We start from the raw sequence: 27,791 nt of genomic DNA, 5'->3' as shown, positions 1-27,791 counted from the left end.
TGCTCTCTTTTTTTATTTTGTTCTTATTCTCTCAAGTGTTCCATGACCCTGGTGGCTGGCAGGGTAAGAGAAGGAGAGCGAGTGGCAGCTCTCTCTGGCAACTGGTGAACTGTGGATGCCTCTTTCGTGCGGCGGGGGCAGAGTTAAGCAATAGATTGTCGGACGTATCTTGGGGACATCCACCCATGGGGCCACTCACGCTAAGCCCAGGGACTTGTGTGCCGGGCCTTTATACAAGATCCTTGAAAGATCCATCATGAAACAAAAGCTCTCTTAGAATTACAAATGCCACTGCAAAAAGAGGAAAAGAGAAATCCTCCTCCCATTGAAAACGCTGGTGCCTGAGGGTGTCAGAATGTAGGGGCCTCAAGCACACCCTGGAGCCTCCAACTTTGGGTTCATAGCTGGGCCACCCCTCCTTTCACCCTGCCAGGCCTCAACCTCAGCAGGAGGTGTTAACACAGCTCTAGTCCAATATCCTGGGACTTGGCATCAACTCCCACCTGCTGCTAGTTGGCCTCCGTTGTGGTGCCCAGGTCCTGATATCTGGTGCAGAAGAAAGAAGCGGAACCCCAATCCTCTCCCACCCCTAGTTCTCCTCCTGCCTTTCTGGCTATTGCCAGAGTCCCAGCACAGACATGGCAGCCGCCCAAGGAATTCACTCCCTGAGACCATGTGTGCATGCAGGCAGGGTAAAGGACTGGACAGATCCAACTGTAACCGAAGCTGCACCAGCGGCACCAGGACAGAGGTCTCCAAGAGGGAAAGGAAGGGGCAGCCCTTCAACTGTGAAGCAAGCAGTCGCGGTTGGGCTCCACCATTCCCCTTTTGGGTCCCTCGCTCCTCCCTCCCAGGGGCCCCTCGCTCCACCCTCCCGGGGGCCCTCTGTCCACGTGGAAGCGCCCACCCACTCAAACCACTGCCTGTCTTCTTTGCTTCCTCAGGGGACAAAACCTTCCCACGCCCTAGACTTTCCAGGGCTCGCTCTCATTTTGGTAACAATGGAAGTGTTTAAAGAAACAAATCCCTGCTTAATTTGTCGACCTCCTATTGGGCTGCACCTCCTAGAGGCCATTAGGCCTCATCCCAGGTAAAATGTGCAAAGGGCGCGGCGGGTGGATTCCGAAACTTTAGGTAATTCCTAAATTCCTAACCGGCTCCCCTGCAGGCTGGCAAGATTTATGCTGAGTTTACACTTCCTGCTGTGAAGTGAGGGGCTTTTCTGTGAACTGGTTACTAAATCCTTGAGTGCACACTAACAGAAAGTAATGGAATCCTCGTGCTGGGAGCCTTGGGGAAGCTGAAGTAGCCGGCCCATCCCACACGTGCCTGAGCTCCAAGCTGGAGTCAGGACCTAGGGCACTCGCCCTCCACGGGCTCGCTGTGTGCCCGCCGCAAGCTGCGCGCCCCTCCCCTTTCCTCCCAGCCCAGCCAAGCCCAGCCCTGCCCGCTGGAGCTCTCAAGACTGCTCTGCTGGCCACAGGACCCAGACACTTCAAGAGCAATTCGGAGCTCCTGGAGATTTAAATGGACTGCACCCTCTGGGAAGCATAAATTATTGTCAGATTCTGTCCCTATCTGTACTCACTTTGTTTACCGTTCAATTCTGTCTGAAAGGCATGAAAAACCTCAGAACTTTTCTTACCTAATACCCCCTTGTGCTTGTTACTATGAATTTAAAGTTAAAATATATATATTATTTGACTATTCCATGTACGTCATATAAATTGAATCATATTATATACTGTATATCATATATGTAATATATATTATATAATATGACTACATAGATGTAATATATTACTATATATGTATATTTGACTATTCTATACCTCATATCAATGGAATCATGTAATAATACATTATTTTATATATTTTATATAATTATATTAATAATATATAATATAATAATATATTCATGATATAACTTCATTTATATGAGGTACATGGAATAGTCAAATAATATACATATATTTTAACTTTATTACATTATATTTATATTATATTATATATAATGTATACACACATAAAATTTCAGTCATGCATATATATATATACATATTTATGTGAATGTACCTACATACATATACAAAATTCCACTTATATGAGGTATGTGGACAAAAAGAATGGTGGTTACTAGGGGCTGCGGGAAGGGAATGGGGAGTTGGTGTTTAACGGGGACAGTTTCCATTTGGGAAGATGAACAGTTCTGGAAATGAAGGGTGGTGATGGTTGCACAACAATGTGATTGTACTTAAGGCCACTGAACTATCCATTTAAAAGTGGCTAAAATGCTAAATTTTATGTCATGTATATTTTATCACTAATATATAATATATACATATTAAATATAAAATTAGTTCAACTCTTATTTAGATACACCTACATAACTAGTGTCAGACAGTTTCCATTTCACTTTTTGATGTCTCTCCTCTTTCGTAGTTTCTGTCTTGGTTTGGGTCTTTTGCCTCCTAAATATTTTCTGGATTTGGCTTTTATGCAACCAGGAGCAGCGCCATTCCGACAAAACCCCCAGCCCTCTCCTCCTCCTGCAGTCCCACAGCCACCCTCTTCTCAGTTGCTTTTAAGCAGAAAGCTTTACTAGTTAAAGTCTGTGATTTTCAGTGGTACATTTAATAATTCATAAATCACGAGAGGTTCAAACAAGTTCAAAGTTTAAAAGTTTAAAAGTTTTGCTGAAGCTTTAAAGTTTAAACTGTCAGAGGTTTTGACAAAAAACTTTTCCTGTCTGGAATACATAAAATTGTTGTGCCATATTATATTCAGGACTCTACAATATCTACCTCTCCCAAAACGTTTCTCCTAAGAAAATCCCGGCCTTGTCTGTGTCCCGCATTCCCTCAGTGATGGTGTGTTCACTGCAGGGCCCAGGAGGCTGACAGGCCCCGGGAGAGAGTGCGGGTTTATGACAATCTGCACTTTAGGGAAAAACAGCCAGAATCACCACTGTGTGAGGATTTCTCTTTAAAGGAATGGAAATTGCAAAATGAGATCCTGACAAATGTGTGTAACAAGGTCTTGGCGGAAGACAGTGAGTTGTGTATAATCTGCTATTTCAAAATCTGGAAGCAGAGAGACCAAATCTTCCGCTGGCCTCCAGCTGACCTCTAATATTTCAGGCGTAATTACTGCATTTGCATGTGCAATTGAGTGTGATGTCAGCTACCCAGGCCAAGGCGCTTTTTGGAGTTTGCTGGGACCAGAACACACACAGACATTTCCATTTCAGATTGTGACCAAGCAAGTGTAGACTGTGGAGGTCATTTCTGACATTCTGGCCTTGTACCCTGATTCTGCACATACTATGCTGTTTTGATCACTCTGTTTCTCAGAAAACTACCGTGGCTCCAAGGGCATTTCACGTCAGAGCCGACTGCTTAGTGATGAGCTGTCCAGGCCATTGTGCCTCACATCAGACACTCACTGCAGACAAGCAGACCCTCCCCTTCCCTCTGACCTGACTTCCTCACTGCCACCTCTGGCCCATCCATTTACCGTTTCTTTCTCCTTTTCTCCAAACACTTCTACACATTCCTTCAAAATCCCCTTCTTCCATGTGATTCCACAAGCCATCAGCATCAATGCCAGGAACAACTTCGGTAACAAAAATCTTTTCCTAGTTTCCAAGATTTGATGACAGGATGTTGTAAAATTATTCCAGGACATGAATGTCCTAATACCGGATCCCACTTTGGTACCCTCTCTTTGACAATAATAACCACACTGTCACGTAAGTCGCCTCCTTTGATCCCAACCACAACCTCCTTTCGATGCCTTCACTTCCTGCCTGAGACTCGAATCCTAGGTCCTCTGCTGGGTTCCTAATTAGGAATCCTACAAGTCTCCCACATGACCTCTTGGTGGCATCTGACACTTTCCAGCACTCTCTTCTTGAATCTTTCTATTCTCTTGACTTTAATTTGTTTGTTTCTCCTGTTTTTGTGCCTGCCTTCATGATTCTTCCGGGTCTCGCTCCCCAGCTCTCTCCTCCAGAATGGGAATGCCTCCTCACCACCAGCAAGTTCTCAGCCCACTCCCCCTTCATGCCACGTAGCTGCCCCTGGTTGAGCTATAGGACTTGCTATAGGCTTGAACTATAGGACTTGAGCTGTAGGCTTGAGCTATAGGCTTGATTAGTAACCTCTGTACTAGGGACTTGAGCTATAGACTTGAGCTACAGGACTTGAGCTACAGGCTCGAGCTATAATCCCTATACTAGGGACTTGAGCTATAGGCTTGAGCTATAGGACTTGCTATAGACTTGAGCTATAGGCTTGAACTATAGGACTTGAGCTATAGGCTTGAGCTATAACCCTTATACTAGGGACCTCCATGTCTGGTCTCCACCCCTCAATGCCCACCTGGGTTCCGGCACCACATCTGCCCACTGGCTCTTCAAGCTAGAACCCAGCAAACTCAACCACCATGTATCAATTGCCTACTGTCTGAAATAAAAATCAGTCAGGCACACACCCTTCATATATCCACATCCATCTCAAACTCAATATTTCTTTTTCTTTCTGCGAATGCTTTTTTGTGTGTTTCCTATGTAGTCAAGTATCTGGTTGTCCACAGTTAGAAATCTCAGAGTCCCCCTTAATACCTTCCTCCCCCTCAAACTTCCCATCTGATCTGAGAGCAATCCCTGTTGTTTCAATGCCAACAGTCTCCCTCCCATCTCTTAACTCTCCCTCTTCCCCACTGCTACTTCCTGAATTCAACCTTTCATCAGCTCTTGTCTTAACTGTTGCAATCCTCTTTTTTCTGGTCGCTCTTCTGCCAGCCTTACCCTCTTCCAATCTTTACAAGGCAAACATGTGAAGAGCTGTGTCACTGCCTGATGCTCAACCCCTGTTTCCCAAAGCTGTAGCCTACACTCCTGGAAACAAGCGCAGGGCCTTTCCAGCCCAACCTATGGACCTTGTCAGCTACATAGTCCACACCACCCTCCTCCTCTCTCTCCCTTCACCCTTTGCGCCAGCAAGACCAAACTTCCTGCTGTTTCTTGAGCATGCAAGCTTTTCATTCCTCCATGTCTTTGCAAATATAGTTTCTCCTACCTGGCAGGCCTTTATTTATTCTGCTCTCTGCCTGGTGAGCCCCTATTCATCCACTGGGCCCAACTCACTTCCACCATGAGCTTTTGGGGGTTTCTGTCTGCAGAGAGACACCCTTCGGTCACCCATGCTTTTAGACCACCATGCTCCACGCCACGGCCCCTCAATTAGACAAGCTTTTCCTGCTTGCAGGACTCTGGACTGCTCATCAGCACTCCCTCAGCAACCAGTACAATGTGGCACAGCAGCTGCCAGTCTCTCTTTTGAATGAATGAAATCTTGTGGCACTAAATGATATCCTCTGGGTAACTAAATGCAGCTAGTTAGCACAATGCCTAATTTGGATTCTTTGTTCCTCTTCAATTGCAACCTGATAAAACTCTCATTATTCCTGGGTAGTGAGTGTGCATTCTTGGAGAAAAGAAAGAAACATTCTCAATTAATCCCCGCTCCCCAACAGGCTCACCTGCCTCACTCTGCAGGTGCAGATTGTGAAATTCATTTATCCAGCAGCACGCATGCAGGTATCTTGTATAACATTCTAATTTGTATTAGAGTAGCCATAAATTATTTTATGCTAAAACCAGTCAGCTACGAAATACTTTGTAGACAGTACTGCAGTTGAATTTCTGTGTTGGTATATGAAAGATATTTGTGGGCAGGATTTCCTTTGCTTCAATCCATGGGGAGATGGCATAGGTTACACTTGCATAGTCATCAAGAGAAATGTCAGGCTCTGAAGTCAAACAAACTAGGATTTAAATCCTAGTTTCATCAACACGTGACCTGTGACATGTCACTTAACCTCTCTGCCTCTGGTTCCTCATCTGTAAAATGGAAAAAGTGAAGCCTCACAGCACCATTTTAAAAATGAGATGAGATCATGTCTTTAGAGCATTTATCACAGAGGAAGCCCTCAATCATAGTTATCACTCACTGTACTTAAGGCTTTATATATTATGTAACTATATACACACACAGGAGTATGTAAAAATATATATATACACATACACACACATGCACATGTATAGTGTGTATATATACCACATGTATTTATACACACACATACACATTATACTGCCTGTAACAACATATAAACCTTACAACAACCGTATGATGGAGGTACTATAATTATCTCTATTTTACAGATGAAGAAACTGAGGCAGGTTAAGTAACTTGTCCAAAGTCACACAGCTAGTAAGTAGCAGATCTGAAATTTAAACCCAGGTAATTAAGATTCAAAGTCTGTGCTCTTAGCATTCCATTAGAATGTCTCGCAATGTCTCAATGCACTCTTCAAGTCAATGAATGTTAACCATCATCATCATCATCATCGTAATCCAGGATGCTAACCAGGCCTATCTCATATTACAAAAGTGCTCCAGCAAGCTCAGTCAGCTCTAGGATGGTAACTTTGTTGCACAAACAACACTGTACTAATCCTGCCGCTGCCCCAAAGGTCAATCTGGTGTGACACCAATGCATGGGTGGTAGGATACACTGTCGGGGGAGGCCCTGAAATTCCAAAAGAGCCAAGCCAGGATGCAAACTGGCATGAAGTCAGAGTGTGTGTCCCTGGCACAACTTCATCCCATTGCTGATTGCCTTCCTTCTTTTATCTGGATAAAGAGAGACCAGTTGATTCCCCCTCCCGACTAGCTCCAGCCAGACTGTGAGATTTTGCAATCGTGTCTGTCTCAGCTCACGGCCCCACAGAAATCAGACATAGAAGTACTTGCTTGGGTTGTCCACAACTCCATCCCTGAGACAGGAAATGAGAACTTCTAACCCAGTGTCACCGTTTTGTTGTAAAAATCACAATCACTTGTAAAATGTATAAGTGGAATTAAATGCATCTTAGTGCCATGAGCTTGTTTACCAGAAATTTCATTTAGCCTTTGTTTTCTTTTCCTTCTTGTCATCACCTACGTTTATTGACCATCCTTCTTTACTCCCTTTTCCCCCATCCTCCATCTCCAAGTGTACTGTTTGCTTTGACCCCTGCTAAGGGTCTTAGTCCACTGTAATCTATGCAAAATATGCTTTTCTGGAGTATTTGTGCTTTTAGAACCAGGCAGATCTGCCTTTCAGTTCTGATTCTGTTTGGCATTGGGCAAGTTACCCTCTATAAAAGCCTCAGTTTTGCACATGTAAAATGATTACAATAAAGAACCCATGTTGGGAAAGCTATGCTGATCATATGCAACCATAGCAGCAGCTATTCCTTCTTACTGAGAATTGGCACAAGTCCTCGATTACTGTGCTAGGTGCCTTTTCACAGTCTTACAGATGAAACTGCTGAATGAAGGAAGGGAGCATAGCGTCCCATCTGACACTGGCCTCTTTCCAGGAGGCACCTCTCCACCCTGATAGAAGGGAATGAAGTCTATCTCATCTGTCAGACCTTGGACATAGCACTGTGGCACAGGCACCGTCTCATTTAATCCTCATAAAAATCCTACAGGGAAGGTATTGTTTCTATGCCCATTTTACAGATGAAGAACTTCAGTTAAGAAAATAACTTGCTCGAGGCCACCCAATGAATGAGTGGCAGAGGAGGTCTCTTAATTACCGTGAATGTAACAATATAATAAATAGTAGCGATGACAGCAACAACAATTAGTGACTATCGTGCATTTACCTTGAGCCAGGCACTGATGTAGGATTATTTCATGTAACCCTATCATCAACTCCGTGAGGCAGACACCATTCTTAAACCCATTTTATGTCGGGCGCGGTGGCTCACACCTGTAATCCCAGGACTTTGGGAAGCCGAGGCAGACTGATCACCTGAGGCCAGGAGTTCAAGACCACCCCGGGCAACAAAGCAAGACTCTGTCTCTATAAAAAAAAAAAAATTAGCCGAGCATGATGGCATGTGGCTGTAGTCCCAGCTACCTAGGATGTTGAGGTGGGAGGATTGCTTGAGCCCAAGAGGTCGAGGCTGCAGTGTGCCATGATCTCACCACTGCACTCCAGCCTGAGTGACAGAGCGAGACCCTGTCTCAAAAAATAAACAACCAAAAAGGACAAATGTGAGGCTTGAAAGGAAATGGTGTTGAGTGACTTGCTGAAGGCCCTGTCATTGGCGAGTAGACAGGACTAGCGCGTGGAACCTGGTGGTCTGTGTTCAGAGCCAGAACCCATCCTATATTGTTTCTTCAAAATGAAATCATGAATTTCTGTGTATAAAGAGCTTAGCCCAGTGCCTGGCACATACTAATTTCCAATATGCTGTTATTATAACGGTTATTGTTACTATTACAATAATAGTATTAGTTTTCTATTGCTGTATAAAAAATTACCACAAATTTAGTGGCTTAAACAACATGCATTTTTCATCTCACAGTTTCTAGAGGCCGGGTGTCCCAGCACAGCTGAGCTGGGTGCTGGTAATTCAGTTCTGGCGTTATCTATCTTGATGGTAACATCAGACCTCACAAGGCTGCAATCAAGGTGTTGGCTGGCTTGCATTCCTTCTGGAGCTGAGCAGCCTTTTCCAGGCTTATGTGATCGTTAGCAGAATTCAGTTCCTTGTTGTTGTAGGACTGACTGAAGGCTCCTAGCTTCTAACTGGATGTTGGCTAGAGGCCACCTTCGGGTCCTAGAGGTCCCTGAGGGGGCCAGCCATGTGGCCTTCTCTGAAAGAAGCTCACGTCAGAGCAACTGGCTTCTTCAAGGCCAGCAGGAGAATTTCTCCCTCCAGTCTAAGACGGAGTCTGATAGTCATAATCACAGGAATGATGTCGCAGCGGCTTTGCCATAGTCTATTGTCAGATGCAAGTCATAGGTCTCACCAAGCTCGAGAGGAGGGAGTTACACAGGTTGGGCCACTGCGAGCCACCTTAGGATGTGACCAGCACACATTCCTTGGCTTCAATTTTTATTTTCTTTCCCACTTACCTTAATTTCCTTTTCATCTCCGAAGGGTACCCTCACCCATTTCATCCTCACCTTCATAGCCACAACAAAGCATTTTCTTACTATACCAGTAAAATGATCAGATTCATTCTATTTCCCAGATTTGTAGAAAGGTTGGGGGGTGGGGTAAGCACACTCGCTGTTGCTCTACCCTCTCTCGCAACACTTCTGATGCCAATTCTGAAGAAAGATACTCTGTTTCTCTCCTACTGTGCTTGCATCACAGCCCAGAACACTTCTGTGACCAGACACAGAGGGGATTTTCCCCACACACCATGCAGTTCTCCAGCAAACACCAACTGGGTATACTATACATCAATTCAATCCTGACATTATCTATCTGGAGTTAGCATTAGATCCCATAGGTTGGGTGTTAGGGAACTCTTTGCCAGGAACTGGGGACAAAGACCAAATGTCTTTCATATTACACCGCAGTAAGGATCCAAACCAAGTCCTCTCTTTTTCTTTCCATTTTATAAGACCATAGTTTATTCATTTTTCTTTCTTTTTTCTTTCTTTCTCTCTCTCTCTCTCTTTCTTTCTTTCTCTCTCTCTCTTTCTTTCTTTCTTTCTTTCTCTTTCTCTCTCTCTCTTTCTTTCTTTCTTTCTCCTTTTTATTTTCAGAGTCTCACTCACTCTGTCACCCAGGCTGGAGTGCAGTGGCATGATCTCCACTCACTGCAACCTCCATCTCCTGGGTTCAAGTGTTTCTCTTGCCTCAGCCTCCTGAGTAGCTGGGATTACAGGCGCCCACCACTACACCTGGCTAATTTTTGTATTTTAATAGAGTTGGGGTTTCACCATGTTGGTCAGGCTGGTCTCGAACTCCTGACCTCAAGTGATCTGCCCACCTCGGCCTCCCAAAGTGCTCGGATTACAAGCTTAAGCCACCATGCCAGGCCAGTTTATTCATTTTTAAACCACTGTATTGATATGTAATTTACATACCATAACATTCAAAGTGTATAAGTCAAAGCACATTTACAGAGTTATACAACCATCACCATAACATAATTTTAGAACATTTCATCACCCCAAAAAGAAACTTCATACTCTTTAGCAGTCACCCCCATTTCTCTTGTCTCCCTCAGCCCTAGGCAACAACTAACGTATTTTCTATCTCTATAGATTAGACTATTCTAGACATTTGACATGAGTGGAACCGTACAATATGGGATCCTTTGTGACTGGCTTCCTTCACTTAGCATAATGTTTCTGAGGTTTACCCACACTGCAGTATAAACAGTATTATTGTGCCCATGGAGGAAGTTTAGTATACTATAGACAAAACAGCTGGAAAATGAAAGATTTCAACTTATCAAAATAGGGTTAGAAATAAACATCTTTATTTGCTTTTTCACCTCACAATTTTTTATGAGAACGTACTATACCAAAGGCCCTGGAAAGATGATAAGACAGGTAAAATTGAGTTACTCTGATAAAGAAAACCGACAAATACACAACGCTTTACCCTATAGGTCTGACTTGTTCTTCAACACACATAAACATCATAGAATCATATAAGGTGAAATTCAGGGTAAATTTTCTGTTATTTTTCGTTTTCTTTTTTTTTTTTTTTGAGACAGAATCTCACTCTGCCACGGTGCTATCACAGCTCACCGCAGCCTCACCATTCTGGACTCAGGCAATCCTCCCACCTCTGCCTCCCAAGTAGCTGGGACTACAGGAACGTGCCACCTCACCCAGCTATTATTTAAATTTTTTGTAAAGACAAGGTTTCATCATGTCACCCAGGCTGGTCTCGAACTCCTGGACTCAAGCAATCAGCCCGCCTTGGCCTCCCAAAGTGCTGAGATTACAGGCCCCTGGCCACAGTAAATTTTCAACTCACTAGAATAAACAGAATCCAAAAGTAGTTTCTCTGAGAGGTGAATTGTATTTTAGGGGAAAAAAATAATGTTAACCAATACTTTCTGCTTTGAGTTACATTGAAGCTTGATGATTTTTATTTTTTTAATGGGGCAGGGGTTGTTTGGAAGATGTCACATCTTGGGAGTGTGCCTGAGAGGCCTGGCTTGCATGTTGTGTCAAAGAAATCGGGGCAGGGCCGGCATTTCTGTGGGGGCTGGTGCTGCCTGCCTTGACATCAGCCCTAGTCATCTCATTCTGCAGTGATGTGGTCATGGATGTATGTGCTCCAAGCCTGGAGGAATTTCACTGTGCTGTAACAGTTTTTCATTTACTGGAGGTCAGGGTTTGAATATCGAAAACACTTCTGATTTAGACAAGTTGAGGAATGATGAGACTAAAAGGTTTCTGTCAGCAAGAACTAACCTCTATGTGGGAACCCAGGATGTTGCACTGGAGTCGCTAAAGGGCAAGTTCAAGAATCCTTAAAACGATGAAGTATCTATCAGATCAGCTGAAGAAAACAGTAAAGTAATGAAACATATACCACAAATGTGATATTCGTAGTGTTTCCAAACATTCCTCTGGGAAAAGCAAGATGCTTGCTCAAGATTTTCAGACAGAGCCCCAGGACTTCAAGCTCTGGTCGTGGAGTGAGGCCAGAGTTTCACCATGGGACCAGCCCCTCCCACAGACAGCAGCCCGGGCCTCCTATGACCGGCTGCTACCTTGGAGGAGGATGTCCTTAGAAGCAGGCTGATGGGGGCCTCAAGAAGATATCTCACCCCCAACTCCTTCCCTTCCCTGGCTGCTGATCTGAAATTCCACCATTAGAAATTTATATCTTTGCACCAAAGCAAATGCTCCTAGTAAAAAAACAAACAAACAAACAAACAAAACACGCATCTTTTATCAGCCATTTACACCTCAGTGCAAATGTGTTTATCAGAGCCTTTGCCAAAGAGTCTTTTTTTTAGAAGGGAGGAGATGAAAAGAGCTAAGCACAAAAAAATGCCCAAGGATGAAGAAGTTACCAAAAGCCACAGAAGGGCAGAAAAGGAAGACAGGATGCACCAAAGATAAATAAACTTGGCCTCTTCCCATGGGTGCCAACTTGAGAGGATGAAGAGCTGACTCAAACTTATAGTAATCAAAAAGGGGAAAAAGGGATGCAAGGTAATTGCTGTGATATGGGGGAACTCAGAACTGTGCCTCCGACCATAAAGAGGAGGGAATAGGACCTGGACGATGGTTTATAAGCAGTGTCCATCCTCTCTCCAAGGGGCAATCCCATGAAGAACAACAGTAATGTGGGGGATTTGCCTGTGCTGCCCAAAACAAGGAAGAGGAAGCAAACACCTGTCTTACCAATCACTGGAATTCCTTTGTTTCACTTTAGCACACCACCAGGAGCCTAAATTCTACTTAATCGTGCACAGACTTTCTGCAGTTAAAGAAAGTAAGCAATGTTTGTCTAAAAAAATGTGATCTTGGGGGAAAAGAGGCCGTGACCCAGGACTCACACTGAGTTCCTGTTTCAGACCTATTAACAGGATGACCCCCAAACCTGGCAAGATGATGATTTGTTTATATAACGTGAAGATTTCAAAACACTACCAATGATTACAGCTCAGAGCTGTCTGATTCCATGGGAAATCAGGGAACCCCAAGAGAAGTCATCGAAGAATTAATCAGCTGCTTTCAGAAAATCCTCTTGGTTTCCTCTAGTTGACATGGTTCCTGAAAACCATCATGCCTGTTTGAGGAGCTGAAATTACCTACACTTAGTGTCAGTTTAGGTTACTGGTGACAAACCTACACATAGTTGGACGGCCTATGTACAGACCAACAGCACTTTGGGGGATCTATCTACCATTGACAAGGTACTGATCACTAATGAAGGGCAAGTTAAGGGATACTCTTTAACATTCTGTTTTTTTTTTTATTTCAATAGTTTTTGAGGTACAGGTGGTTTTTGGTTATATGGATAAGTTCTCTAGTGGTGATTTCTGAGATTTTAGAGCACCCATCACCTGAACAGTGTACACTGTACCCGATACATGGTCTTTTATCTCTCACCCCTACCAACTTTCCCTGGCCCCGTCCCCAAAGTCCATTACATCATTCTTAGGCCTTTGCATCTTCATAGCTTAGCTCCCACTTATAAGTGAGAACATAGGATATTTGGTTTCCCATTCCTGACTTACTTTACTCAAAATAATAGCCTCCAGCTCCATCCAAGTTGCTGCAAAAGACATTATTTCATTTCTTTTTATGGCTGAGTAGTATTCCATGGTGTATATATACCACATTTTCTTCATCCACTCATTGATCGATGGGCACTTAGGTTGGTTCCATATCTTTGCAATTGAGAGTTATGCTGCTGTAAACATGTAGGTACAAGTGTCTTTTTCATATAATGACTTATTTTCCTTTGGGTAGATACCCAGTAGTGGGATTGCTGGATTGAATGGTAGATCTACTTTTGGTTATTTAAGGAACCTCCATACTGTTTTCTATAGTGGTTGTACTATTTACATTCCCACCAGCTGTGTGAAACTGTTCTGTTTCACCTCATCCATGAAGGGAGACACTTAACATCAACGCTAGGTGTGTATAGATCTACATCTTCCTTGTAAGATGTAGGTGTTCATATGTTGTTTTTTTCCCAAAATATACGTGAATTGCTAAATTCAAAGAATGGGAGTGAAAGATTTAGATATGATGCTCCCCAAAATTATTTTGCCTGCTAAAAATACAGCTGAAATGCCTAGAAAAAGAAGTTCCAATTCTCTTTAACTTGTCTCACATCCGATTCTCATTCCAGATAATTTTATTCTTCTGGACTGGGAGGAAAAGGCCTACCTCACGAACTACAGTGTTAAAGATTCTCCCTGTAAGTGAATGTTTAATGAACTGCAAAACCCATCATAAAAAGCACTTCAGATGGCCTCAGTTACTCCACAAACCAACTATGCCTGAAACACACAAGCTTATGCCTTGGTTGTCTTTTCAGTTGCCACAAGGAGCCTATACATTGAGAGTATTCCTTTTCTCCTATCACAGTGCTTTAAAAAACAAAAATTAAAAAAAAAAACTTCCTTTTTACCATGGAGAATCTAACTGTATTTCTCCTCTTAGAGAGAACTGGTTCTGAGATGCTTTTTAAAACGTGTTTGTGGCATCTAAAAGTTCCCTACCTCCCACACTTTCTCAAGTTTGAAAGAATACATCATTCGTAGTTTGATGTATCTCCAAAACCAAGAACACAATGCAAGGGAGTGTACACCATATTTCACTCCACCGTGGAGTCACAGCTTTTTCTTAGACATGGTTTTAGCATAAAGTAAATTGTATTTCCAGGATTGCTGCCAAATCCAACAATACAAATAATGATGACCAAAAACAGCAGAATGCAAGTGAACCAGAAGTGATGATGTTTCATAACGAAATCCCATAAATACTGTAAATATGCTTTGGTTTTACTTGAAGATTAATTAATTAAACCAAATTGGCAAAACTCCAACGTATAGAACTGTACTAGAAAAGAATTCAATAGAAACCCAGTGGGGATACAAATAATTTCTTAATGCTTCTTAATGCAAATGAAGAGCTGTATATCAACAATCAATGATTCTGAAAAGAGTGCTCAGAAGAATCTATTTGTTCTTTTTCTTCTTCTTCTTCTTTTTTTGGTACTGGCTATATAGTGATGATTTCCCAGAATCTCTAAGTTACTCCATTTCTGGATTGTAGGGATTTCTAGCAAATCATCATCATATCAGCATCAAATCATTCATAAAGCATCAATATGAATTTGCTCCCTGAATATTCTTCAACTGAGTGAAAGGAGTTGAGGAGATAGAGGAAGAGAGCTAACTTGTATTTCATATAGGAACTGTGCTAGGCTGCTGCATGATTTTCTTATTTAATAATCATAAAACTGACATAGTTACTATTATCTCTATTTTACAAGTAAATAAACCTAAAGAGTGAAAAGTAAATTATTAAAGTTCAAACATATTGGAAGTGGGAAGAAGTAAACAGGGGCTTTTGGGGAACGTTGCTGTACTCTGTGTGTATTGCTATATTCGCCATCATTCAAGAAATTCAGGTGAAGGTATTGGCTCAGCTTAAAACAGCTTTAGCCCACGAGGCCATGTTCTTCTGACAGCAGTGCTACTCTAAGACAGAGCCGCATGGATCTCAGCCTCTTGAGCATTACATCTTTACTGGGGTAAGGTTTGCCAAAATGAGGGAGAAAAGATTTTAAGCAATACTATAACATGGTATTAAATAACACTGAATCAAAATTATTCTTTTGGGCTTTTTAAAAATTGAGATAAAATACACCATTTTAACCATGATGAATTTTAAAGTGTGTCATTCAGTGGCTTGTAGTACATTCACAATACTGAGCAAACAGCACTTCTCTTTGAATCCTTCAGAACGTGTCAAAGAAAAAGTCTCAGTTTGTTACTGGAATATCTTTAATAATGCTCTCATACTTGATTATTTATGTTTAAAAAATAAAAGCAAGCTTAGAGGCTTTGGTAAACAAGCATACAGCTAGAGTGTGATAATATAAACTTGATTTGGGGTGTTTTGTGAGGGGTGCATTTATTTTTTATTTGATGTGAATTTCTATGTATATAGCCACAGAATTTCCTTCTTAAGTACATATTTAAGTGAAATGGTCAGTTGATTTAATAGTAGCATTAGTGGTAGGATGAGTAGTATTAATGGTAGGATTAGTAGTATTCATGGTAGTATAGTGGTAGATATGGCCAGGAGTCAGAAAGGAGGAACATGAATGACAGAGTACTGGGACCACCATTCTGGTGGTGGGACAGACAGCAATGGGAGGGTCGTGTGATGAGCATTTAGGAGGAGGAGCATAAGAAGAATGAAAAACCAGTTAAAACATCATGGGAATGATGGGCTAGGACTTGTGAAGCTAGAGTCTAATCATAAATCCCAGAACGCAGGCTGGTCCTGACTCTGCTTTCCTGTTGAAAGCTCACTGGCCCATCCTGCCTTCCACAGTGGTTTAGAAAGGATTCGAGGCAGCAAAACACCCTGCCTCAGAGCAGTAGGAGATCCATTTGCAGACTGGTCATGAGAACCAGGGACAGAAAACCATGATGGCTCCAGGAAGGACCGACTGAAAGGAAGCTTAGAGAAGGCGGGGAGAGCTGAGGGCACAGCTAACAACTATGGGCTGTAATAGAAGGAAATGTTTCTGTCTCCCAATAACTGGTAAGAAAGGAGGTAGAGAAGAGAGGAAAAGCCAGGGGCTGGAGAGGTGATTAATAAACAAAGAGCGTGTCCTTTTGCCCTCAGGCTCTCAGATGAAGGCTTGTAGTTGGAGCCGCGGTGTGGGAGTGGGTGTGTGGAACGAGTTGTCTTCCCTCTGGTGGAGCTGCTCACAGGCCCATTTGTGCAGGAAACTGACTGCATGCCTCAGAAGTGAGGCTCTGCTGCTGGAAGATCCTTCCCTGCCTACAAATCTGTTTCTAATGATTCACCATTTGTAAATGGAACTCCCATCCAAGGCTCTTCATTAGCAAGAGGTTATCGAGAAGAAAAATGGGGCACCCATCTGGAGATAAAAATTCCTGATGCCTAACAGATTGTCAGGAAGATTTCCAACCCACCTGACTTGAAAACAATGCACGTGTACACACACACACACACACACACACACACACACACTCACTCCAGAGCTAGTCTTAGCCAGAATATTTATTCATTCTAGGTATCCAATGTATATTAGACTATTTACTACATGCAAGACAGAGGTTTGCATTTTAAAATGCAACTATACATGAAAGAAAACATTAAGCCTTCATTCCTGTAGAAATTGGTATAACACAGTACAATGAGAATTTTTCCCCTAATGTCTTGGAATATGAGGCTTTGATCCACGGAAATCGCATTTCCCCATGGTTACTGCCGCATTTCTTTGTTTTTCTGCCTGCAAAACTTGTCCCATGAGCTGTTCACTGTCCCCTTGTCCACTTCTTCCCCTCCTGTACTCACTCCTCCCTTGCTTCTGCCCTTATCATGCCTCTGAAACCTGTCTTGTCAAAGTCATCGGTGACTTTGTGTTGTCAAACCTAATGGTCACATCTTGGTCCTCATCTTTTTTGACTGCTAACAGAATTGGATAGAGATGAACCTGCTAACTTGAGACTCTTGTCTTGGATTCTGTAACACTAAACACTTCTGATTTTTATCCTCCTCACTGGCCACTCCTCCTCAACCTTCCTCCCCTCATGCTACTTCTACAAGTAGGAGAACTCTAGGGCTACACTTCAGCTCTTTTCATTTCTCTGTCTACAGGCTTTTCCTGGGTGAAAAAATCCCATCTAGTCCTGAGGGATTCAATACCATCTCTCAGCTGGCAACTCCAAATTTCTCTTTCTAGTCCTGACTCTCCCTGGAATTCTGGGCTCAGTCATCAGCTATCTACCTGATATCTCTCATTGTAGGTCCAATAAGCATTTCAGACTTAACCTATCCTAAACAGAACTTTGATTTCTCCTCCCATATTTCTTCCTCTGTCTGTCCCTTCTCAATCAGTGCATCAACGTCTAAGCATTGATGAAAACAACCCATCGTGGTGAAAATTCTGGTGAAAATCATGGAAAAAAGTGGTGAAAACAAAACCATCATGTCTTGACAAGATGATTGCCTTCTACCTAGCCTTCCTGCATCCACTCCTCTACTCAAAACTCTGCAATGACTAGCCAGGTGTGGTGGTGTGCACCTGTAGTCCCAGCTACTCGGGAGGTGGAGGTGACAGGATGGTTTGAGCCTGGGAGGCAGAGGTTGCAGTGAGCTGAGATCATGCCACTGCACTCCAGCCTGGCTGACAGAGCCAGACCCTGTCTAAACAAACAAACAAAAAACTCTCCAAGGGCCAGGGACACCAGCTCTATGATTTGCCCACCTGCCCACCTCCCCGTGGCCTTGTCTCCCCAGCAACCTCTCTCCTTCACTCCCCTCCCTCCTTGGTACCTGTGTACCACTCTGCCTACATGCCACTCAGGCTTCAACCTCCAGGGCTCCACACTTGCCATTTCCTCTTCCAGGACACCCTTGCCCCAGAGAGCAATGTGGCTCACTTCCTCATTTCTTTGCTTAAATATCACTCCATCAAAGAAGACTCCCGATTATCTTATCTAACTCTAGCCATCCCTTCACAATGCTTTGCTTAACTTCAAAGCCCTGTCACTACCTGACATAAGATGTTTATTTATTATCTGTCCCTCTCTATGAGAGAATAAGGTCTCAAGAGCAGGGACTTGACCCGTTCTGTTCACTGCTCTATTCCCAGAGCCTAGAAGAGTGCCTGGCCCATAGTAGATGTTAAATCAATATTTGCTGAATGAATTAATAAATCTTCTTCTTTTCCCCTACTCCTCATGTTCAAGCCATCTGAAAAATCATTCTTTCATCTCAATCCCAAATCCATCCAACTTTATCCTAGGTGAAGCCACCATACTCTCTCTCCAGGACCACTGTCTAGTGTCCTAACTGGCCTCCATGTTTTCTCTCTAAAATCCATTATCCAAACAGCATCCAGTTATTCAAAACACAAATCAGGCTCCTCGCTGAATACTCACAAAGAGTTCCCAATGCTCTTTGAATAAAGTGCAAACTTTGAATCCTGGTCTAAAAGCTATAAGAGGTCTGGGCCTCACGACCGCTCCCCGCTCACTGTGGTACTTGCCCCTGAGGCTTCTGCCACCCTTCTTCTCCCTGTGCCTTGAGCACATCAGGTTTGTTCCTGCCTCAGTGATTTGCAAATGCTGTACCGTCTCTCCAGACAGCTCTTCCCCCAGACAACCACATAACTGGGGCCTATCCAAGTTTGAGTGAAATATCACCTTCTCAAAGAGAGATCTTCCCTGGTCCTCCATCTAAGTTAGGCCCCAGCCCATCACTCTGTTTCAGGTTAGTGTGTCCTATTCTCTTCATAGCACATGTAAGCATACTGTTTATTCACTTGTATATGTTTTTTAACTTGCTATTCTTAGTAAAATATTCTCTCTTGTTCCCCATATATATTCTCAGTACACTATATAAATATGATGTTATTGTTGTTATTAGTAGTAGTAGTAGTAATAGTATTTGGAAATGGGGTCTCCCTCTGTTGCCCAGGCTGGAGTGAGCACAATGGCATGATCCTGGCTCACTGCAGCTGACATGGTTTGGCAGTATCCCCACCCAAATCTCATCTCGAATTGTAACTCCCACAATTCCCACATGTCATAGGAGGATCCTGGTGGGAGGTAATTGAATCATGGGGGCAGGTCTTCCCCATGTTGTTCTTGTGATAGTGAATAAGTCTCACGCGATCTGAAGGTTTTAAAAACAGGAGTTTCCCTGCACAAGCTCTCTCTTTGCCTGCTGCCATTCATGTAAGACATGACTTGCTCTTCCTTGCCTCTTGCCATGATTGTGAGGCCTCCACAGCCACGTGGAACTGTAAGACCATTAAACCTCTTTCTTTTGTAAATTGCCCAGTCTTGGGTATATCTTTATCAGCAGTGTGAAAACAGACTTGTTTTCCTGGGCTCCAGCCCAGCAGCCTTGAATTCCTGGGCTCAAACCTTGAATTACAGCAGCCTTGAATTCCAGGGGTTCAATATTATTACTACTATTATTATTAATTTATTTTATTATTAATATTCATCAACTATTAAATTGAGTTAAATTTGGTAGCTTTTAAAATTTTTTCTTGGACAAGTAATTTTTCTTAATAAAACTATTTCAAATCTTAGGATGAATTAAAGATATTATTTGTATTAGTGAGGCTAATTAACTGCAGCAAGCAACACCAGAAACTGCAGCAAGCAACACCAGAAGCAATGCCAGAGGCATAAATCAATGAAAGTATATTTTACATATATTTCGATGTTCAATGAAGGAGTTCTGTGAGCAGCATTCCATACAAAGGTCCCAGGACCCAGGTTCCTTCCATCTGTGGCTCTTCCATACCCTCCCTTCAAACCTTCCACTGTCATTTCCTCATCTGTCCCGTCAGCATGCAAAGAGAAAGAGCAAGGTAAGAACCTCCACGGAGATTTGGGCAGCCAGGCCCAGAAGTGGAAGACAACACAACACCTTTATTCACATTCCGTTGATGAGAGCTTGTCATATGGCTCCAACTTAACTACCAGGGAGGCCAGAAATGCCCAGGAGGAGGGGTCAGGACTGGCAAGCATCTCCTCAGTCTCTGCCACACCATTCTTGTTCTCCATGGAGCATGGTGACTTCCAGGTGTCTGCCTCATAAGCAAGTTTGATTATGGCCTTTTAGGTACTTGGGGTTTACAGAAAGTGATGAATAAACCTCAACAGATAGGGAAGACCAAAATGTTCCTGGCTCTGTCAGAGCAAATGAACATGAAACTCTGCCAGAACAATTCTAACCCCCTCTCCCCCAAGCATGTGCCTTCATGTTTTTCTGCATTCCTACGAGCACAATATTTGGGCCCAATTCTAGCCATAACACCAACCCAAACTTTGCAATGTTCAACAGCAACTTGAGACTCTGAATTTCAAGGCCTATTTTCTTGCTAAGACAAATGGATTTTGAGAGCCACGGGTTTTAGTTTTGACTGGTGGTTTCTCCCTTTTAACTCTTCTTAGACTTCACTTATTTTTGTTTGGCTGTACATGATCTTGTCCAATATCATGGGAAACAGCCCACATAAATCAATTATCAATAGTTCAGCCAGGGTGGAAACAAATTCAAACAGACAGTTCTAAAGCAATATATTTAAATCTTTTCTAATTCATTATAAATTAAATCCAATGAGGATAGCCCGCATATCCCAGTGAGGAAATTTTTATTTTCTCGTCTTCTTTCTTGGTTTAATCTCATTCACCTTGGGCTTATTCTGTGATCTGCGTCTCTTAATTGCTTCCCTCAAGTAATCAATGGAAATAACAAGGCCATAAAGACAAGAAACAAAGATATATATCAGAACAGTGTGGAATTTCATGTATAAAATAATAAGATCCAAACCCCAGTTCCACACCATGAACAAGTATGGGACATTAGAGCAAAATACATGAAATGAATGTGTTGACTCCTACATGGTTCTCATTTGTTGATTTGTTCAATAACAATTAAATACCAAATTATAGCCAGCTAGACAAAACAAAGAACAGAAAGCAGTTGAAAAGAGAAGATGTACAATCATGTAGCAACCTTAATAGAACAACTATGTAGCGACCTTCACATAATCTTCAATTCGAAGTAATTTGACAAATACAGACCACAGTTCGAAATAGCGCCTCAGAAAGATGGATTGCTGTGGAATGGGTTGAGAGCAGGAAGTCTTCAGGAAATTAAAGGAAAGGCATCATGTGGATTAGGGGAGAGGAGGTTATACAGGGAGGGCAGAGGATAAGCAGACAAGAATATGGGAATATACAGAAAAAGAAGAGAGCATGCTGAAAACCATGTGACTGAAGTCGGGCATGCATAGTGGGATGCTCTGTGAAAGAAAGTTGAAAAATACAGTCCATGGAGCAAGGCTCATTGTTACTAGGCTGAGCCCAGACTTGAAGTAATCAGAAATAAGGAAATAGTGGAGGGTCTTAATCGGGGGACAGAGATGATGAAAGCAGTGATGAATCTGGCCGCAGGCAGGAGGATAGATTGAAAGTGAGGAGACCAGTAAAGAGGCTGTTGCAAAAATTTATATGGGACTTGATAGGGACTTGGCTCTGAGAGGTGACAGCTGACACGAAGACCCGGGGACAAATCCAAGAGTCTCTGTGGAGAAAGGAAAGATGCTTGTCAATAAAGGAGTAAAGGAGAGGAAAGAGGAAATGAAAACCCTGGGGATGAGAATACGGGTGGTGGCACTGAAGACAAGGGGAATTTATCAAGTAGAGGATGCATTTTTTTCAGATTAAAATTCGTAACATATATTTATGAGTTAGTCATCCATGGAATATTTCTTTTTAACTTCTGATTCTAAGACGCATGGTTAAAATTAAGGTTAATATTCTTGTTGGCTTTAGTTTTATATAACTTTGAAATTTACAAGGTTGGGGGGATTGAGAATACGCACCGAGATATTATATGTTGCCAGGTCATGTTTTAATCTTTAGCAAAATAGCAGAACAGTGCTACATGTAATCAAAACATATTTTACTAGGAGAAGCAATCAGAGCTCAAGACAAAAATGGTTCTTGGATAAGGATAGCTGGTATCAGACAGCTAATTGATCTTTTAAGGATCATGTGAATTTTTTACCTGACATTTTCTCTTCTTTTTTATAGTTACTTCGGTAACAAACAGAAAGAGGCCCAACCGATGCCGAAATCCAAAGAAAAATAGACACTCGACACAGAATAAGGTAGATACCAGGAAAGATGTTTTTAAAAACCTGGTGAAAAGCAAAGCATGAGAATTTCAGGAAAAGAGAAATGTCTGTATGTGAAATGAATGTAAACATGAAGATCTTCCAGGAGCAAATGGGAAAGGCAAAAGAATCAGCAAAACACCCCACCCAGAACAGAGGCTTTGGAAGAAAGCTGTGGTAAATAAAAGTAAACTGGAAATCTGGAGCTCCTCAGATTAGAAATGTGCAAATCACCACAAAATAAAATCAAATGCAATATTTAGCAGGAGACTTTAGCCTTTGGCATTGTCAAAAGTACAATCTTTTCTCAGATTCTGGAGTTTCCAGTTTACTAGAAAAGTGTAACCTTCAGTGCCAGAATAAAGGTGGCCTGCCTCTTGTAATGCTATGGAGGGTAGAAGACAGCCATTGGGAACATGGATAAGTTCTGCATTAGAATTTTAGCTGGGTGCAGTGGCTCACGTCTGTACTCCCAGCACTTTGACAGGCCAAGGTGGGCAGATCACTTGAGGTCAGGAGTTCAAGACCAGCCTGACCAACATAGTGAAATCCTGTCTCTACTAAAAATGCAAAAATTAGCCCAGTGTGTTGGCACACCCCTGTAGCCCTAGCTACTTGGAGGCTGAGGCAGGAGAATCGCTTGTACCCAGAAGGCAGAGCTGTTTGTTTGGGACCTCTGCCATGGAGTTCCCACAGACAAGACTGTAGAATTAAATAGCTCCCAAAATGTAGATACATAGATGTGATTATAGAAGAAGCAAGTTGGGGATTTATTTGAAATTAAGGTATGTATAAATATTTCTAATTGACCTCCAATGTCATTATTCCCTTCTCGCTCAGTAACAGAATTCCCAAAGGTTAGCAGGGCACTTGGCTGCCTAAAATAAAGACTAGCTTTTTTTTCGCAGCTGAGATGTTGCCCTACAACAAAGTTTTGGTCAATGGATTATAAGAGGAAGTCGTGTGTGCAATTTCAGGGAGTATGCCCCTTTGCTGTTCCTTTCTCCTTTCTTGCTCACTGAAATCTAAGCGTGATGGCACAGGCTACAGAAGCCATCTCAGACCACAAAGTGAAAGCCACATGTTGAGGACGGTGAGGCAAGAAGAGAAGAGCCTGGATCCCTGATGATAAGGGAGCAATCGTACCAACCATAGATAGTGTTTACTTGAAAGTGAGATCAACTTCCACTTTGTTAGAGTCCCTGACAATTACCTAACGACTAAAATTATCTCAGGATAACTCAAACTTACAGAGGCAGGACAGGCTTGACCCAAACCAAACTGGTGTACAGCTTCTTGCACTAAAAAGCAGAAAGCTGCATTCAAGGTAGATATTAGGGTGAGTCTGATCAGTGTGAATGAATGTGAGTTTTAGTTTTAGTTTGACAGTGAGAAAAAAAAGGAAAATGAAGTACCCACCTAATTAGGTAACTGACAATGTGGGGCTTGGGGAAAATGAAGCCAACATACCTACCACTTTCTGCTTAGAAACACACAAAATAGAAAAGGGGGATTCGGCTCTTGAGCTGAAAGTGAGGGGCTTTACATAGCAATCATTAGCCAACAATGGACTAAGAGCTTCCCGGTTATAAATATGGGACAGAATGGAGGGTGTTTCCCAGAAAAAAAGTGCATTGTAAGGAACAAAATCAACAGCAACCTTGGAAAATGTTTGCAGGGCTAAGAAAATACAGTCGAATTTTCCTAGGCAGAAATTTCACAGTTAAATCACGAATATGTGGCAACAGGGTTTTACTATAAGCCAAATATCTATGAGATAAAACTGGAGATATTAAATGAAAGTGAAGAAATCACAAGATTAAGCAAGGTAGAAAAATGACGGACCTCGTTTAATCGTACAAACGGGCTAAACACCATTTGGTAAGGAGTGTGGGGATCAAACAAATGACTGCTCTTTAGAATTCACAAACAAAGGAAATATCACAGTTGGGCTTTAAGAGCCAGATAAGAATTTACAGAGAAAGTATTTTCATAGGAACCACTATGTAATCATGGTTACAACACAATTTAGTTCCACATTCTGGCAGAAAATAAAAAATATCCATTATTCAGTTACCCAGTTTTAAAAAGGGAACTGTAATTAACTCACAAGCAGTGAATTGGAAACAACAACAACAAAAGCATTACAAGGAATCATATAAAGAAAAATTAATTGAGAAAACCAGGTTATTGTTTAAACATTACTAGAAACCAAAAGAAAGTACTTGCCAGAGATTTAAAAAAAAAAAAAAAATCTGATCCTTAAAAAAAAAAAAGAAAAAGAAAAAAATCTATATGACCACTAATAGTTAAAAACAAACAAAAAACAAAAACCACTTCTATTTTAGGAAGAATACTTTTTTTTTAAATTTGAGACAGTCTCGCTCTGTTGCCTAGGCTGGAGTGCAGTGGCGTGATCTCAGCTCACTGCAGCCTCCGCTTCTCAGGCTCAAGCAATTCTCCTGCCTCAGCCTGCCAAGTAGCTGGGATTACAGGACTGTGCCACCATGCCTAGCTAATTTTTGTGTTTTTAGTAGAGACGGGTTTTCACCATGTTGCCAGGTTGGTCCTGAACTTCTGACCTCAAGTGATCCACCCACCTCGGGCTCCCAAATTGCTGGGATTACAGGCATGAGTCACCGTGCCTGGCCTCTTTTTTTTTTTTTTTTTTTAATGTAAAGGTTGGCCAAGTGAGACTCACAGGAACAGGGGACACACAGATTGTAAGGGACAGGTATAAACCAGAAACTGCTGGGAGCTTTCAATGCTGGAGTAAGAGAAAGAGGAAGTTCAGCTGGAAGTCTGTGGGACCTCCTTTAATCATGGTACAAAAGATTTAATAGATGGAAATTAAAAAAAGAGAGAGCAAGAAAGAGACTAAATGAAGATTTTAGGGAAGTTTTGTCTCCCAAATTCCATTTGAAAATACTGATTGGGTGGGGTGGGGGGAGGGGGGAGGGATAGCATTGGGAGATATACCTAATGCTAGATGACGTGTTAGTGGGTGCAGCGCACCAGCATGGCACATGTATACATATGTAACTAACCTGCACAATGTGCACATGTACCCTAAAACTTAAAGTATAATTAAAAAAAAAAAAAAGAAAGAAAATACTGATTGGAAACACTAGAACAAGCAGCAATAAACGCCCAGAATGTTCTAGATGTGGCTGATAGAACAATGTCATCAGAGCCAGAGAGCTACTCAGGAGCTCTGAAGAAAGTATTTCCCAAAATGTATAAGAAGCCATAGTCAACACGTGACTTCTGATCGCCAAGTAAGCATCTCTTCTGCATGAATATCTTCAAAAAATGTACAAACTAAACAGAAGCTTCACTTATATAACAGGTAAACTAGTAGAAGAGAAAATCAAGCAGAAATCCTCCATATTTTTCAAATGTGGCAAAATAGGGGAAATCAGGCTAAAGGAATCTAGTATTTTAGGAGAGAAATAAACATGAAGACTAGGAGAATTTGTGGACTAAATTTATTTAGAGGTTTAAGGTACTAAATATGAAAAGAAATAATTTACATGGAAAGAAATAATTTAATTTTACCTGAAATATAACTTGGCCTATTTTAAAAAACAAAACAAAACTCAGATCTGACCGAGGCCTTACAGAGCAAAGTAGTTTATCTTGATAATTTCTTGAGGGTATGCAGAAAAGATGCAGCACTGCACATTGCATAACACAGTGCTAAAAGTCTTTCAATATCTCTCTTCTCAAAGAGCGTGAGTGTGCGTGTGTGTGCACGCCCCCACTTCACCCTCCTCACCCACATAGACCCAAAAGTTAGTTTGATGGCATTCAGCAGGAGAAAACCCCTCATTTGGCCCAAATATTAACCATCTACAGTTCTTTAAATATGCTCTTGGCAATATTCAATTCACTCTGCCATGTAAGACAGAAAACGTTTCAGAAGAAAATCAAAACATCGTTCTATCTTTGCACACGTGGAAAAAAGTGATGATGATAACAAAAGCTAACACTTTCATAGCATTTACTAATGCTTTATGTATATCAGCTCCTTTAATATGGCTTATGATCATTATCATCATCATCGTTATTCCCTTTATACACATGAGGAAACTGAGGTCACACAGCTTAAGTAGCAGGGCAGGTTTCTGACCCTGTTCTTTCTTCTGGCTCCAGAATAAGCGTTTTGTTACCACCACTATATGGACTCTTTTCTCTCCCCAGTGGCTTTCTCTCCCTGGGTCTTCTCTGTGGATGGCACCTTTGCATGGCTCCTACCTACTTCTCCCTCCCCTTTACCACTCAGTACCTGGGCCCACGTGGATTCCTCCAGCAGCCACTCCCTGCCTGTGATTTTGCAGAAACATGTATCCACTCTCACGCACACTCACGCTCACACATGCACACGTGCAAACTCACTCTCACACTCACACAAACTCACACACATACCATCATTTCTCCATACAGCCAGAGTGTGGGGTGTCCAGCACTTCAAGCACTTAAAGTCAGCACTTTTGCTTCCTGCCTAGTAAGAGTAAACAAACAAGAAAATAAATAAACAAGAACACAAGTATCCACTTTTTAAATGATTTAAAACACAGATGTTGAGTGCAGTGGGGTGTCAGGAGACTAGATCTCACCGTTTCTGAACACTTGAGGGTAAAATTAGGAACAAAATGTATTTGAAATCTTCCAGAAATTTGCTTCCTGTGGCTCTAAAAGTGGAAGCAAGAATATGTCTTCTGGGCACACTTTTCTTTGTTCTGGAAGGGAGCAAGTTGACGATCTCAGGGTAGAGGCCACTCTGGGTCCATGTGGCAATAGATGCCAGAGCCTGTCCCAAGCACGCCCTCCCAAGAATATTAGCACCAAAACTGGCCATGCAGGGAGCAAATTGTAAATGTAGTAGTGTTGGGAGCAGGCTAGTTTGGGGAGTGAGTTGGTGTGGGTGTTGCAGACTGGAGGGAACGCTGTTCCAGGAAGGGGAAGAGCAGGCCAGTGGGAATCAAACTCTTTTACCCTTTAAAGAACAATTGTGTGCCTGCAGCAGTGACCCAAAAGAGAGATCCAGGCACAGCTCATTCACTGGAACAAAACCAGCAACAGTGAACTGTTCTTGGAACTCAGCAATAGGGCTCCTCCAGCCTCAACAGGGCACCTGAGTTCTGGGCCCAGCATGAGAAGATGGGCACCAATAAGGCCCCGCCATAGTTCCTGTCCATATAAGGGGAGGGAGGGGCTAAGAGAGGAAGACAGGATTTCCTACTTCTCCATGCATGTGAGGAGTAGAGAAGGTATTAATTTCAAAAAATATGTGAAATGTGACTTTATTTGTTCCTCTATGTGTGTGAAACGGGTCATATCAATGACATTGGCTATTATTATCATTTCTTCCTTCTCCCACTCTCCATTCCATCTCTAGAACCATGGCCTGGACCTACTACCTTCTCCAGACTTCCTGAGACCAACATTACAGATCACCGTTTGACCCTATTCTGCCATGACATCGTTTCTTCATCAAAGGACACCTGTGCTTTTGTGATATGTTTATG

At 42.3% G+C, this 27,791-nt stretch overlaps 1 long non-coding RNA gene across 1 annotated transcript, besides 2 other annotated features; it reads left to right on the top strand.

Moving 5' to 3' along the window:
- Positions 1–955: an enhancer, noted in NCBI's record as "H3K27ac-H3K4me1 hESC enhancer chr18:19904709-19905663 (GRCh37/hg19 assembly coordinates)". NCBI's record gives its function as "activates a minimal SCP1, AML or CMV promoter by ChIP-STARR-seq in naive H9 embryonic stem cells {active_cell/tissue: H9 hESC(naive)}" and the evidence as "EXISTENCE:reporter gene assay evidence [ECO:0000049][PMID:30033119]".
- Positions 956–1,911: an enhancer, noted in NCBI's record as "H3K27ac-H3K4me1 hESC enhancer chr18:19903753-19904708 (GRCh37/hg19 assembly coordinates)". NCBI's record gives its function as "activates a minimal SCP1, AML or CMV promoter by ChIP-STARR-seq in primed H9 embryonic stem cells {active_cell/tissue: H9 hESC(primed)}" and the evidence as "EXISTENCE:reporter gene assay evidence [ECO:0000049][PMID:30033119]".
- LOC101927548 (uncharacterized) lies at positions 981–27,791 on the top strand. The gene is made up of 3 exons (XR_001753531.2): positions 981–1,090; positions 22,178–22,254; positions 27,662–27,791. It is a non-coding gene; the product is annotated as an uncharacterized LOC101927548 (long non-coding RNA).

This window comes from Homo sapiens, chromosome 18, assembly GCF_000001405.40.
Source record: "Homo sapiens chromosome 18, GRCh38.p14 Primary Assembly".
Lineage (NCBI taxonomy): Eukaryota > Metazoa > Chordata > Mammalia > Primates > Hominidae > Homo > Homo sapiens.
Note: the sequence above shows the minus strand (reverse complement) of the source record. Positions and strands in the feature narration are given on the sequence as shown.